This window comes from Homo sapiens, chromosome 21 (assembly GCF_000001405.40).
Source record: "Homo sapiens chromosome 21, GRCh38.p14 Primary Assembly".
NCBI classification, from domain to species: domain Eukaryota; kingdom Metazoa; phylum Chordata; class Mammalia; order Primates; family Hominidae; genus Homo; species Homo sapiens.
Genome location: NC_000021.9, coordinates 39,844,308 through 39,859,719, shown reverse-complemented (window position 1 = coordinate 39,859,719; position 15,412 = coordinate 39,844,308). Strand labels below are relative to the sequence as shown.

General features: G+C 46.4%; 2 annotated features.

The window, feature by feature from the left end:
• Positions 7,158-7,659: an enhancer, noted in NCBI's record as "NANOG hESC enhancer chr21:41223988-41224489 (GRCh37/hg19 assembly coordinates)". NCBI's record gives its function as "activates a minimal SCP1, AML or CMV promoter by ChIP-STARR-seq in naive H9 embryonic stem cells {active_cell/tissue: H9 hESC(naive)}" and the evidence as "EXISTENCE:reporter gene assay evidence [ECO:0000049][PMID:30033119]".
• Positions 13,200-14,399: an enhancer, noted in NCBI's record as "CDK7 strongly-dependent group 2 enhancer chr21:41217248-41218447 (GRCh37/hg19 assembly coordinates)". NCBI's record gives its function as "activates an origin of replication core promoter dependent on BRD2, BRD4, P300/CBP, MED14 and CDK7 cofactors, with strong dependence on CDK7, by STARR-seq in HCT116 cells {active_cell/tissue: HCT116}" and the evidence as "EXISTENCE:reporter gene assay evidence [ECO:0000049][PMID:35650434]".

Genomic DNA, 15,412 nt, shown 5'->3' with positions numbered 1-15,412 from the left:
GTTGTCACAGCTGAGGGAAAATATTTTCAGTTATTACCATCTGAACTAAGAGGACGTAAATGATATCCAGCGTGTAGAGAGCTGGGATGCTGCTAAATATCCTGCTGATATGCTTTGGCTATGCCCCCACCCAAATCTTATCTTGAATTGTAGTTCCCATAATTCCCACATGTCATGGGAGGGACCCAGTGGGAGGTAGTTGAATCTTGGGAGTAGTTACCCCTATGCTGTTCTCAGGATAGTGAATGAGTTCTCATGAGATCTGATGGTTTTATAAGGGGCTTTTCCCCCTTTGCTTGGCACTCATTCTCTCTCCTGCTGCCCTGTGAAGAGGTGCCTTCACCATGATTGTAAGTTTCCTGAGGACTCCCCAGCCATGCAGAACTACAAATCAATTAAACCTCTTTTCTTTTAAAATACCCAGTCTTGGATATATTTCTTCATAGCAGTGTGAAAACGGACTAATACAGTAAATTGGTACCAGGAGTGGAGTGCTGCTATAAGGATACCTGAAAACGTGGAAGCAACTTTGGAACTGGGTAACAGGCAGAGTTTGAAAGAGTTTGAAGGGCTCAGAAGAAGATAGGAAAATGTGGGAACATTTGGAACTTCCTAGAGACTTGTTGAATGGCTTTGACCAAAATGCTGGTAGCGATATGGACAATGAAGTCCAGGCTGAGGGTCTCAGATGGAGATGAGGAACTTGTTGGGAACTGGAGTTAAGGTAACTCTTGTCATGCTTTAGCAAAGAGACTGGCAGCATTTTACCCCTACCCTAGAGATCTGTGGAACTTCGAACTTGAGAGATGATTTAGGGTATTTGGCAGAAAAAAATTCTAAGCGGCAAAGCATTCAAGAAGAAACAAAGCAAAAAAGTTTGGAAAATTTGCAGACTGGTGATGTAATAGAAAAGAAAAACCCAGTTTCTGGAGAGAAATTCAAGCTGGCTGCAGAAATTTGCATAAATAATTAGAAGCCAAATGTTAATTGCCAAGACAATGGGGAAAATGTCTCCAGGGCATATCAGAGACCCTCACAGCAGCCCCTCCCATCACAGACCCAGAGGCCTAGGAGGGAAAAATGGTTTCTTGAGCTGGGTCCAGGGCCGCCCCCTGCTGTGTGCAGCCTCGAGACTTGGTGTCTTGTATACCGGTTGCTCCAGCCATGTCTAAAAGGGGCCAAGGTAGAGCTCGAGTCATTGCTTCAGAGGCACAAGCCCCCAGCCTTGGCAGCTTCCACTTGGTGTCTGTCATGCAGGTACACAGAAGACAAGAACTGAGGTTTGGGAACCTCCACCTAGATTTCAGAGGATGTATGGAAACACCTGGATGTCCAGACAGAAATCTGCTGCAGGGGCAGAGTCCTCATGGAGAATCTCTGCTATGGCAGTGTGGAAAGGCAATGTGGGGCCAGAGCCCACACACAGAGTCCTCACAGGGCACTGCCTGGTGGAGCTGTGAGAAGAGAGCCACTGTCCTCCAGACCCCAGAATAGTAGATCCACCAGCAGCTTGCACTGTGCACTTGGAAAAGCTGCAGACACTCAACCCCAGTCTGTGAAAGCAACTGGGAGGAAGTTCTGTACCCCACAAAGCCACAGGAGTGGAGCTGCCCAAGGCTGTGGGAGTCCACCTCCTGCAACGAGGTGACCTGGATGTGACACATGGAGTCAAAGGAGATTATTTTGGAACTTTAAACTTTAATGACTGCTCTATTGGATTTCAGACTTGCATGGGACCTGTAGCCCCTTTGTTTTAGCCAATTTCTCCAATTTGGAACAGGTATATTTACCCAGTGCCTGTGCCTCCATTGTATCTAGGAAGTAACTAACTTGCTTTTGATTTTACAGGCTCATAAGCAGAAGGTACTTGCCTTGTCTCAGATGAGACTTTGGACTTGGTCTTTTGGGTTAATGCTGGAATGAGTTAAGACTCTGGGGAACTGTTGGAAAGGCATCATTGTGTTTTGAAATGTAAGGACATAAGACTTGGGAGGGACCAGGGGAGGCATGGTATAGTTTGGCTGTTTCCCCACCCAAATCTTATTTTGAATTGTAGTTCCCCTAATTCCCACATGTCATGGGAAGGACCTGGTGGGAGGTAGTTGAATCTTGGGGGCAGTTACCCCCATGCTGTTCTTGTGATAGTGAGTGAGTGCTCATGAGATCTGATGGTTTTATAAGGGGCTTTTCCCTCTTTGCTTGGCACTCATTCTCTCTCCTGCCACCCTGTGAAGAGGTGCCTTCTGCCATGATTGTAAGTTTCCTGAGGCCTCCCAACTCATCCAGAACTGTGAGTCAATTAAGCCTCTTTTCTTTATAAAATATCAGTCTCGAGTATTTCTTTATAGCAGCATGAGAATGGACTACTACACCTACAGTATTCAGGACTGCCCCTGACAGCAAAGAATGATCTGGCTCAAAATGTTAATGGTGCCAAGATTGAGAAAACCTGAGCTATACAAACACACCTATACAAAGATCTATAAATCTATACAAGAAACCAAAGATGGACAATCAAGGGGCTGAGAGCCAACATCTCAATAAGAAGTCAAGATTCCTTGCTCTATTTTTAGATCTGAACCAGTTTTCAGATCCAGAAGCAATTGACAGAAAGCCAAGTCCCCAGGAGAAAGGATCTACCAACATCAAGCCTACTGTATGCAGTAGTAATTTTCCTAGTTCTTCCTCAAAAGGACCCATAGACATCTCCTTGAGTAACAATGCACCAGGGAAGGAGAACACTCAAACATCTTGAAGATTTTTAACTGTAGAATCCAAGTGGAAAGGGGGATCCAAAGCGTTGGCCTTCCTGTTAGAGAAGGGGCATCCAGGGGTCGAGTATAGATGGGATCCTGGCACAGGTACAAAGTGGATGGACTGGAAATAGATGTATTGGACAGTTGACAGAACATCCATATTAGACTCATGGCTTGTGGCATAAGAGTGTTCTTAGTTGGGAAGGCTAAGTAGAAGCTCTGAACTGTCCTTGCTCCAGCCAAAATAATAAATAAAAAGTAATATCACATCCCAATGAAATGGCAGAGATTAAGGTCACTCTTACATACCCACAAGAAGCTGGGGTGGTGATGAACCCCATCTTCATTTAATTCACCAGTGTGGGCTCTACAGAAACCAGACAGCCTGAAGGATGTCAGTGGAGTGCTTCAAACTCAGTCGAGTGGCAGCCCCAACTGCATCTGCTGCATCTTTGCTAGAGGAGAGCAACATGGCTCCAGGTACATGGTATGTGGTCAGTGACCTGGAAAATACCTCCCTTCCTTTCACAGCCAGGAAGGAGGATCAGAAGGTCTGAGCCCCTGACATGGCACCAGCTTTCAAGGAGACCAGCTTTTGGTTTCAAATTGAGGTCATTAAAGTCCTTCTACCCCAGAAGAGGCAATAATCCACCTTGACTGGAATTGACACATATTCTAGTGTGCGTTTCCTTTCCAATCCACAAGCCTCTATCGATCCAAATGCAGCAGCACCACCTGAGGCTCCGTGTGTGACCCACTGATACAGGACACTGAGTAGCATCACCTGGAACACGGGCCCACTCTATGTCAACAGAGGTATGACAGAGGCATACTAGAGTGGGTATACCATGTAAATCTGGAAAAGGCAATGAGGTCATCACCTCCACCAGGGGACACCAGGGAGACTAATTTTGCAAGACTCAATAGCAAAAAGAAGGGAGCTGCAGAGAGAGAGCTGCAGAGGTCTTCAGAGCATTTCCTTGAGTCTTTGAATACCGATCTGTGCGAGAAAATTCCCTGAAGCCAAAATGAAGGAAACCATCCAAGCTCAAGAAAAAGCTCCATGAATAATTCCCAGAGCTCCCATGGAATTGGAATCACTCATCTTCCCACCAGCCAAAAAGAAGCAACCTCAAAACACTCAGGCATGGGGTAGAGGCTCCACCCGTCTTCTTATTAGAATTAACGTAGTCTTTGACTCACCATGACAAAGCCTCAGATCAAACCTCAGCAGAATCAGACTTGTCCAAAGGTTACTTAGTTGCATGCAAGAAAAGTAAGTAATCCAACACTCTTTAAGGGAATATGATAAAATTTAGTACCCCAAAATATGAAATTCACATCTGGCATCCAAAATTACTAGGCATGCAAAAAAAAAAAAAGGTAAAAACCACAATCCATTTATTTCATAGAAACTAAAGGCAAAGAAGATGTAATTACTAGACCCTCCCTCCTATGCCTCTGCTCTATGATCCTGGACATAGAGCAGATGCACTCCAGCCTGGGTGACAGAATGAGACCCTGTCTCTGGGGGAAAAAAAAAAAAGTTTCATCATGGTTTTCCCCCACCACCTTGGATATATCAATATGGTAGAAACCATTTGTCTTCCATACTCAAAAATGGTCATTTTCCTGTATTAAGAATTATGTCAGACAATCAAACAAGACAAAAGTGTGTACGTGTGTGCCTATGTTTGTGTGTTATGGGTGGAAGCTAGAGAAAGGGGTAGATGTAAAGTAAACCCACCACAGTACACTCCCAGTGGCTACTGGGTGAAATTGTACAGCATTCAAATGGGTCACAAAAGAAGAACTATTAATAGTTACTCCTATGTAGACTTAATGCTTTCGTCAATAAAATACTGTGAAACTATGCCAACATCTTTCCAAATGAAAGCAAAAACGATATCCAGAATTGATGTCCTGCAAAAGATTCATATCATTTCAGTTATTTCAAGACCGTAAAACATTAGCATAAAAGGTGATAAGTTCATTCCTGTTAATATGAATCCTTGCTTTAAATAATTTCAAATATTAAATCATACTGAAGAACTTATTACCAATATAATAACATTAAAAAACTCCTCAGTCTATTAAATTCAGTCAACCAAAAGTCTTCAGAAAAATGTAATTCCCTAATTAAGCTGCAGCGAGGTGGGGACCTACAAGTCCTACTGTGTGGCAAGGTTTCCACCAGGGCGGCGCCAGGGTTACCAGCCACATGCATGAGCTGTTTCAACCAAGGCACAGCTGTGGAGAACGAAGCTGAAAAATGCATAAATGCCAGCATATATTTGGATCCCAAAAGGCAAAAGCATTTTCATCGTAAAGAGAAATTGGCCAAAAAAAACCACTTTTATTTCTCTTCTAAAAAATAGCTTTTGCAACCACGTTCCTGTGAATTTCATCCAAAGATATTCGGGGTTACAACATTTAATTCAATGACCCTACTTTGGCCTGAATATTCCAAAAGCCAGAATGTCATCTATAGCATCATCCCTACCCAAGACATTCGGGTGTGGACAAGCTCACTGTCCACTCTGCATTAAACACATATCCTTTAACAGTAATTGTAATGCCTTTCATATTGTCCATAGGGACATATCATTCTTTGAGGTCCTGGCATCCCTGATCTCTAGGGTCACAGAAAAAATACCTGAAACTTCATAAAAAACTAGAACTACCATAGGAGTGGGGCAGAAACATTCAAGAATACCAGTCCAGAGGACCAGAGATGGATAAATAGCTGCAGGAAGGGACATTCACTTTGGGAGAAGGGAAGGGTTCTGTAGTGGAGAGGGAGGAGAGGCTGTGGAAGGTGAGTGCACTCTTTGTGTGGAAAATTTGCATTGAGAGAACCAGGGACAAGAAGAGACTGATGGGAGAGTGGGGTCAAGACATAGAAACAAGGCTGGGTGTAGTGGCGCATGCCCGTAAATCCAGCGCTTTGGGAGGCTAAGGCAGGAGGATCATTTGAGCTCAGGAGTTTGAGACCAACCTGGGCAACATAGTGAGACCTTATCTCTACTAAAAATTTAAAAAAATTAGCAGGGTGCGGTGGCGCACACCTGCAGTCTCAGCTACTCAGGAGGCTGAGGCGGGAGGAGCTCTTGAGCCCGGGAGGTCAAGGCTGCAGTGAGCCATGATCATGCCACTGCACTCCAGCCTGGGCTACGCAGAAAGACCCTGTCTCAACAAAAAAAAAAAAAAAAAGAAGAAGAAAAAAACAAAAGAAAAGAAAAAAAGACATAGAGGAGAAGAGTCAGGGGAGATTACCCAAAAGGTCTCCCCAAGAATCACTGAGTGCAGAAGAGGGAAAGAGGCCCAGAGACAAGTTACAGAAAAGATATTAGATTGTGAGTAAGCAAATCATGCATCAGATTAGAGGAGTTAGGAAGAGACAGCTAGGTCAGCACCTGCGAGGCAGGAGACCAGGTTGCACAGCGAGGGAGAGAAGTAAGGTAATCAGGGGCCTCAGTCTGAAGAAGAAGAGCTGCATCTTATGACGCCCTGGATCGTCCTACTAGGCATGGAGAATTCTTACGGGAGAAAGCTGGGCTGAACTAGTAAGTTAATGGCGGTGGGGAGGGGATCCACGGGCACTGGTACTGGCTGCCCAAGCCCTGGCCCGGGGACACCTGCCAGGGATGAGTCACCCATCTGTGGCTGGAGCCATCCTGTCTCTCTGGGGGATGGTTATCGTATTGTGCCAGGATAGCTCTGGGGTCACTCGCCCAGGAAGTCAGGAAACCCAGACTGTATATTCCCAAAACAGACAAAAGGGAATCTCTCTCTCTCTGGACCCAGAAGCATGGGAAACAAGGAGATAACAAAAGACTGGATCCCTAGTCCCTGACTTCAGGAACATAGTGAGATAAGGTCTCACTATGTTGTCAAGTCTGATCTCAAACTCCTGAGCTCCTGATCCCACGATGGCTAAGATCTGTTCACCGTATCCGCATGTGAAGGGGCTCTGATTTGAGGCTTCAGGTGGAGTGAGACTTCTTGCAGTGAGGAGGAACCAAAGAGGAACCAGGAACGTTGACGGCACCTGGATGAAGCGGGTGGTGTGAGTCTGTCCCTCTCAGGGACCCCAGAGCTGACTGTTAGCAGTGTAAGAGCCAGAAACTTGATGGAACTGCATTGTCTTCTCCATGAGCTTATGAAAGAGAAACAAAGCCCAACACTAGTTAAAGTGGTAAGGATAGACTTTATTCAGCAGTAACTATTGCAGTAGAGAAGGGGTCTAGCATTAACTAAGCTCAACTTTGCCAAAACAACCATAAGGAGACTTTTACAGACTGGAGTGTGCTGAGGGAAAGGCAGTGCCAGGTGCTAGGCTGGACTGGTTCATGTGACCAGGACACCTGGGTTGGTTAATAGGCACTTATCCAGAGGAGAGACAAACGTCTCATGTCTTTAGGACAGGAGGTGGTGGTGCAAATAAGAGCAAGGTGCCCACCAAAGTCAGGGCCTCGCCATCGCATGGGGACAGGAGTGGAGTTATCTCCCTGAATGTTTGCATTTCAGTGAGTCAGCTCACAGGTCCTTGAGAAGACAGTTCTAGGTGGTAGAAGATTTACATCTCAAATGGGCAGAGAAAAGATTTACAATTGCAAGCTTTCTAAAGGAACTGCTCTTAAATGGGGCTCAGGGCCTATCTGCCTGCCACCAGGTGTTGGCTGGAACAAATGGTAGATCCTTCTGTCAGCAATGAGCTTTCACAAGCAGGAATTTTAGGGGCTGGAGTCATTGTCATCCCAGGGACACAGCCTTGAGCTGTTTAAATAAACACAGCCATGCAAGTGTTTATTTAAGTCTCTTAATGTAGGAGGCAAATCATTTGTGCTGAGAGTCTGCAGTTTTCACAAGCCAAGCTGGAGGCCTAGTTAAGACGACGGCTCAGAGGTGCCTGAGAAGAGCTTAGTCAGGGAGAATCTTGGCCCAGCTGCACTGTCTACTCCATGATTGCACCATGCCTTTCATGATGGCACCATCTTCTCCATGAGCTGCACCATCATCTCCATGACTGCACTATGCCTTCCATGATGGCATTATCTTCTCCATGAGCTACTCCGTCATCTCCATGACTGCCCCATGCTTTCCATGATGGCACCATCCTCTCTGTGAGCTGCACCATCTCCTCCATGAGCTGCACTGTCTCTTTCATGAACTGTCTTGGTGAGATCCTAGACAAGGCATGATCATCACTCAGTATCTAGTGCGCCCATCTGAAGGAGACGTAGCAAGGCTGAATGCAGAGCAGTGCTGCTTTGGGAGCTGCCTGGCAGAGAGTAGCTCAGAACCAGAGCAGGGTCTGTTCCTGCCAAGGGAAGGAGGCAGCACCTGGAGGGTCTGATTCCCTGAGCACATCCCAAGAGAGCTCCTCAGCTTGGATGCTGCTTTTCATGGTGGCAGTTGGCCATGGTGAACCTGTGGCACATGACTGGCAGGCAGCAGCTGTGGATAAGAATGAGCCAGAGCCAGAGAGGAAAGAGAGAAGAGACACAAGAACTCACTCATGCATGAGCCCAGGAGCCACCCTTCTGAGACTCCCAGGGATTCCTGGAGGTCTCTTGGACAGCTGTTCATTTCCAGCCCCGAGGCCAAGAGGGATGAAGTGACCAAAACCGATCATTGCAAGGGAGCGTGACATTATTTTTTAAGCCCCAGGCTGCTGAATCCTGGAGTGTCTGCATCTTCATCACAGTCTAACAGCCAGAATAGATGAGGTCAAACTCCACGGGAAACAGGACAGGCCCTGCGAGCCTCCGCTGCCAGCCCTCTCTTGAGATGCAAATGTTTAGGATCCTGTTCCTTCTGGGTTGATTCCCCTTGTGATGCCATCCAGCCATTTTAGATGTCTTTTGCACATGAATTTCCTGCCAAAGCAGCAGAGATTGCAGGAAAGGATGATTTTTTTCTACAGATGGCAGAGAGGGAACGATGTACCCAAAGGCCCACACGGGCAGCTGGGTTCCAGACAGAGACCTCAAGGGAAGACGGAGTCCTCTGGAAAAGGAAAGAAAGCTTAATTCTCCTTCCAGGGTCAGTCCTGGGGCCTCTGGGTTGTATTTAATTTTATTTGGGAAGATGGCATTTCTTTTTCACATCTGCAATGCGCACTAAGAGGATAGCCTTTCCCCTGGAGAAGCTGGTGGCCCTGTTCCGTCCCCCACCAGCCAGCCACCTCCACAGCCTCAAGCTCAGCAGAACTGGGAGAAGGCGGGTGCTGAAAACCTTGGACCAGGGTGGGAATGACAGGTCGTGCCCTGGAGCAGGGGATGTATGCAGGGTGGGTAATAACAATTGTCAATTCCTATGGAGCAGCCACTGTACTCAGCACTTCTTATTCAGGAAACCAAGGCTGGCAACTGGAAAGCACTGCCCACAGCCAGGGCTGGCAGCTGGAGGCTGAGCTGCAGGTCCAGGCAGTCTGCTCCAAAGCCTCAGCTCCCCACAGTGCGATTCTGCCTGGCCAGCCTGTCTCAGCCTCTGTCATCTTTGTGTGTGTGTGTTTGCCCTTGTCCTTGGCTGCTGGCTGTTTGAACATACAGTAAGCCCCACTGAACAATGGGATGGCATTGGCACAAAAAACACAAATCAAGTGATCAATGCCCCATGATTTGGCTCCAGGGCTATACCTGATGGCCCCTTGGCATCAAAGAAAGATCACAAGATCACACGATAAAAGTTTCCACTGCCAAGTATGTTGTTTCAGTTTCTAAAGCATGTTCGCAAGCCTTACAACACTTCATCCCATCATGATGTGGGCATAATTAGCCCCATTTTTAAATACAAAATGAGCTGAGGTTTAGTGGACTGTCTGTATTGATTTCTCATTGCTGCTGTAACAATTCACTGCAAACTTCGTGCCTTAAAACAACACAAATCCCATATCTCTTAGTTCCAGATGTCAACAGCCTAAAATGTGTCAGGGGGACTGCATTCCTTGTGGAGGTTGCAGGAGAGAATCTATGTCCCTGGTCTTTCCTGGGTTTGTGCCCGGTGTCACTCCCACATCTGCCTCGGCTGTCTCATCCCCTTCTCTCACCCTCCTGTCCCCTCTTCCATCTTAAGGACCCTTGTAACTACAGTGGGCCCACCGAGATAATTCAGAAAATCTTCTCATCACAAAATCCCTAACTTAATCATGCCTCCATAGTCCCTTTTCACCATGTAAGGCCCCACATCCTCAGGTTCCAGTGATCAGCACATGGACACGTGTGGGGAGCACAGTGCCCAAGCCCCACAACTCAGAAATGAAAGAGTGAGGCTACCATAGCAGCCGCTAAAAGGCCTGGTGCTTGAGAGATGGTCTTTGCATAGACATGGATGTATCGGGGTGTCTGGGCACACAGAGCTGCCAGCACAGACTACTTCCCAACCAATCCATTCCCCTGCCTTCCAACTCTCTCTCTCTCACACACACACACACACACACACACACACACATGCCCCCACACACACACACGCCCCACACACATACACACACACACAGGCACACACATACAGACACACACATATACACTGCCAACATGAGGCTTTGGACCACAAGAAATCTGACTCGACTGAACAAACCCTTCCCTCGGCCCCCAGAGGTGTGAGCAAATGACTGAATGAATGAAGTGGATCGAGATATGAAGAGCTGAGACCGAGACCCGAGGTACAGCAGGGCTCTGCAGGGGCCGGGCTATGGTTGCCAAGCGCTCCGAGTTATCTGACTATGGATGATTCACCTTGAAAGTCAACTCTGGCAAAAATATTTCAGGAAATTCTCAAATCTCAAAGAATTTTCCTACTTGTTTGAGGAGTTGAGCATCTGGTTCTCATTGTGCAACAGACTCAGTCCATTTGTTTCCTCATAAATTAAGTGTATTACTTTTTCAAGATGATGGGATCTAATACTTACAATTATAAAAATAAAAGAAGAGTAGAGTAAATGTCTGATGCTGTCATGATTCCTTTCAGCATCAGAAGATAAATTTTTTCATGTATAATTTTATTAGTCGATGCTGAAACCATTATTTCCAAGTAGTTCAGTGACTTTTCCAAAGATAAAGCCTTGGAGATAATTAAGCTGGAACATTTAAGCTATGACAATCTGCATACAAGGAAAATAGCTGCTCTTCTTGCCCAAGAAAAATACACAAAATTGACAAGCATTCATAGGTAATAGTTATCTAATACATAACTATTAAGTAAGAAAGCACCCAGGTTCTTACTTCAAAATGAATTTCAGTTCTGATGATGCATTTCCATTTTATTAAAACTAGCTGCACAACAGGTAAATATTGTTTGCATTTCAAGACAAATGACAAGACCAATTTCAAAAAAGGGTTGCAAGAAAAAAATCGTAAAATTTGGGAAACCAGGAAATTGTCTGATTGAACTTGTTTTAAATAATGATAGCTTCCAGATTCACAGATAATTTGCCTTCATAATTATGGAAAATTCATCTTGAACAATGACAGCTAAAGTTTTCTACTCTAAAAATATTAATCTCCTGTGGAGTCTAAGATGAGCATCTTCACATTTGCATTAAGTTTCACTTTTTATCTTCTAAAGGGGCTCTGAAGTGTGGTTCATTTTCCACATTTCTCTTATACTCGTGCAAGGGTAGACCTGATAGAGTTATCTTGCTTAGGCTTATTCTAGTTTCAAAAAACAGCAAACATTCCCAACAGGCTTAAGCCAAAGAGGAGGAGGGGTTGCAAGGAGACAGGGCTGGTTCATGGAAGCCAAGGACAGGAAGTCAGGTGACCCACGAGGAAGGCCCCTGGGAAACCAGGAGGAATCAATGGTGAGCTTCCACCCTCTCTCTTTGCAAACTGGCCTTCTCAGTCCCTCAAGGCCACAGGGTAGGTAGACGATGACCATCCACAGCCCCTGAGTTCACATGTGGTAGGGCCCATGTGTGCACGTGGTCAGATTTCCCACAGCCCAGCTAGGCCAGGTGCCCACCCACGGCTGGATCATCCCCACCTGGGGGATGTGAGCACACAACAGAATCATGGCCCAGGAGCCAGTCCTAAGCCGGGCGGGGCCAGCATGTTCCCAAAAGGGGCAGGTCATCCCACCAGGCAGCCATCGAAGCAAAGTACCGCCCTCGTCTGTTGGGATTTATTGAAGGCTGAGTGATTGGATTCCACTGTCTGAAGAAATGTGGGGTTCATGTGGGCCCATGTTTCTAAACAGGAAGCAAAAGGCATTTGGAGCAAAATGCTTGGTCATCAGTCAGTCTGACTCACACTGCAGGGGGCTTCTACCCTCTACCCCACCTACTATAAGCCAAAGGGTCTCCTCCCCAGTCTTCATGACACTAAACCACCCACCTTTATGTCACATGCCTCCTCAGAGAACAAGACTGCATCTTATTGAAAAGCACTGGGTTTTAGTCCAAGCCTTTTGAAATTCACAGTGAGGGTCCTGAGACCCAGAGCAAGATACAAAAGAGTACAAGCGATTTAGCATCAGACAATGGCCTCTGCCGGCCTCCTAACCATGCAGCCTTAGAAATACCTTCACATCCATGGACCACGGCTCCTCACCATCCAAAAAATGAATTCAATGGCACCTCTCCCATAGACTTATTGTAAGGATTAAGTGAAATCAGATGTTAGATTGAGCCATATGAAATGTCTGGATCTGTAGGACAAACAGTTGAATATCTTATTTCATATGGCTCACATAACACTCAAGGGCTCTAGCACATAGTAAGTGCTCAATAAATATGAATCCTACAGGGATGCAAATTAAACTCAGACTATGCAATGAATACAATGAAAAAATAACTTCTACCTAAGAGCACGGTATCCCCACCCCACCTCAACTTTGGACAGAATATAGCACATGGCATTAACTAAGGTAGAAACGATAGTGCTAAGAAAGTATCCTTGGGGGAAATTTTAATTAAGCACCATCTGTGACAGTTCAAAGAAAGGTGGTTAAGTGACAATAGGAAGGACAAAAGGAGGCATCATCCCAATGGAGCGGTAGAGCTGGTGGCCAAGCAGTCTTCTGCTTACAGAAGACACTGGAGAAAGCGATTCTCAGCCATCGTCCCCCAAAGACAACACAAAGCCTTGGTCTCCAGCAAGCAGGAGGTGGCGGACAGGGATTGGTAATTGGCAGGGTGGTTGACTTTGGGGTGGTATTCATATTTAACTGTTTCAGCCTTACCGTGAATTTTACATAAAAGAAATGGCTTTTATTTCAAGCTCCACCAGTCCCTAACCTGTCCCATGCATACATACACCACCCTGAGACCCTCCACTGCCTCCAGTTCTGAGCCCCAGCAGGCCAGCAAAACACAGAGTGCACGAACGGCCTGGGCACAGCCCAAGGAGTATCCTTGGCACTTTCCACTAGCAGTTAACTTTTAATTAAAAGGTAAAGAGACATTAATTATCAGTTAACAAATTTCAATCTCTATTCAGACAAGGGAATTAATGTGTTTTTAAAAGGCCTCAATAATTATTTCTTGAAGTTGAGAAAAGGGGTGAAGATAAAAAATATACCTTTGCCAACACTCTTCTCTTCTTATTTTGGAAAACTTGGGTGCAAGGGCAGCCACACCCAACACCTGCCTGCCGCTGCTCTGGATTTAAGGAGTGCAAGTTATTTCGCATAAGACAGCGGCCCATCTGTGGACTGAATTATTAACATCTTTGAAAGGAAGGGCATCAGACCCCCGCAGAAGGGGAAGGTGTCCGCAGGCTCTTGGTTGGTCTTGGTCATTTTTGGAAGACTTTGGAACTCTACACAGGAATGTCTTTCTCAGCTTGCTCCTGCCCTGTCCCCATAGAGCTTGGCTTTCCGAATGCAGGTGGAAATAGCTTCTGCTGCTCACCTCTAAGTCCAGATGGATTTTTGCCACTCGCAAAAAGTGTCTAGAGGTCAAATAAAATTGTTCCCAGGAAGGGGAAAGAAAGGGTTCTCTTGCCATCGTGACTTTACAGTCATCATGTTGGCAGAGCTTTGTGGTGGAGGACAATGATTTTCTACTGCCCTTGTTGAGTTATTTGTAACCTTGTGATTTTTTTCTCCCCAAAACCTCCCTCTGAGATATTCTCCTACTTTTTTCCAGAAAGGTCATTTCCTTTCTTTCCCTGGGAGGAAAATTGAACTGGTACGTCTTACTTGAATTACTCAGCCTCTGAGAATGGAAAGTATGAGGGAGATCAAAAGGCTTTAAGCTCCGCGGATTAAAATTGCTCCAAGGTAGCTCTGCCAGATGGGCAACATGCTGTGAGGTCATCTGCCATGAATAAATTAAAACCTGGGTCAAATACAGAAAGGAAAAGAAAATTCATTTGAAAGACCCCAGTGTAGGTTGAGCTTTCAGCTCCTCCACGGGCCCACAAACACAGTTCATAGTAACAGAACCAAAAACTCCTCAGGACTCCAACCTTGCAGGCCAAGGGGTTGAGGAGCAAGTTTTGCAAATGTTGAAGCAAAAGACAGCACCAACGCACTATTGTCAAAGATGCTCATTCCTCAGAAGGAGGGGACAAGAGTTCTAAACAGACCAGGGCCTCTGTGTACGTGAGTGGTGCCCTCAGTGTGGATCCCATCCCTGGCCTGGTCCTCCTGTCCTCAAATGTCCTCTCCTCCTCCCCCTCCTCCATCGCCACCACTACATCCTCAGAGAAGCAAGGGCTACAGCCTTTTCCCAAGCGCTCATAACTCCACAGACCCAGCACCAGACTGAGGGTGTCTCCTGGGTTAGAGATCATCCCAGGCCTGGTCCTCCTGTCCTCAAATGTCCTCTCCTCCTCCTCCTCCTCCATCGCCACCACTACATCCTCAGAGAAGCAAGGGCTACAGCCTTTTCCCAAGCGCTCATATCTCCACAGACCCAGCACCATACTGAGGGTGTCTCCTGGGTTAGAGACCATCCCAGGCCTTATCCCACACAACTGTTGGTCCCAAAGGCATCCTCATGAAGAGGGAGAGGGCGGAGTCAGTCAGACTCACAGGTCTTCCCGGGCTTTGGGGACTGCGTGACTTTGAGAAAGCTGTGTGACCTCTCTCATCCCTACTCTCTTTTTTGTTTTTTCTTTTCCTTTTCTCTCTTTTTTTTTTTTTTTTTTTTAGATGGAGTCTCACTCTTTTTGCCCAGGTGGGAATGCAGTGGCAGGATCTTGGTTCACTGCAACCTCCACCTCCCAGGCTCAAGCGATTCTCCTGCCTCAGTCTCCCAAGTGGCTGGGATTACAGGTGTGTGCCACCACCATGCCCGGCTAGTTTTTGTATTTTTAGTAGAGATGGAGTTTCACCATGTTAGTCAGGCTGGTCTCGAACTCCTGACCTCAAGTGATCCACCCACCTCAGCCTCCCAAAGTGCTGGGATTACAGGCATGAGCCACCACATCCAGCCTGATCCCCACTCTCCTTCCCTGCAATCAACCGGAACTGGAAACATCAACTTCATGGGAGAACTGAGGAAGCCTCCACAGAGTGGAGTCAACACATCTCAGTTCCCCTTCCACACCACACCCCAGCCCTGAGACTGTGCTCGCTCCACCTCTGTGTCCCCAGCACCAAGCACTGACCAGATCCATGGTAGATATTCAGTAAAGAGACAGTCAATGGACCCGCCCAAACCCACAGACACCAAAGTCTTTTTTACCTCAGACACCAAAGTCTCAAGA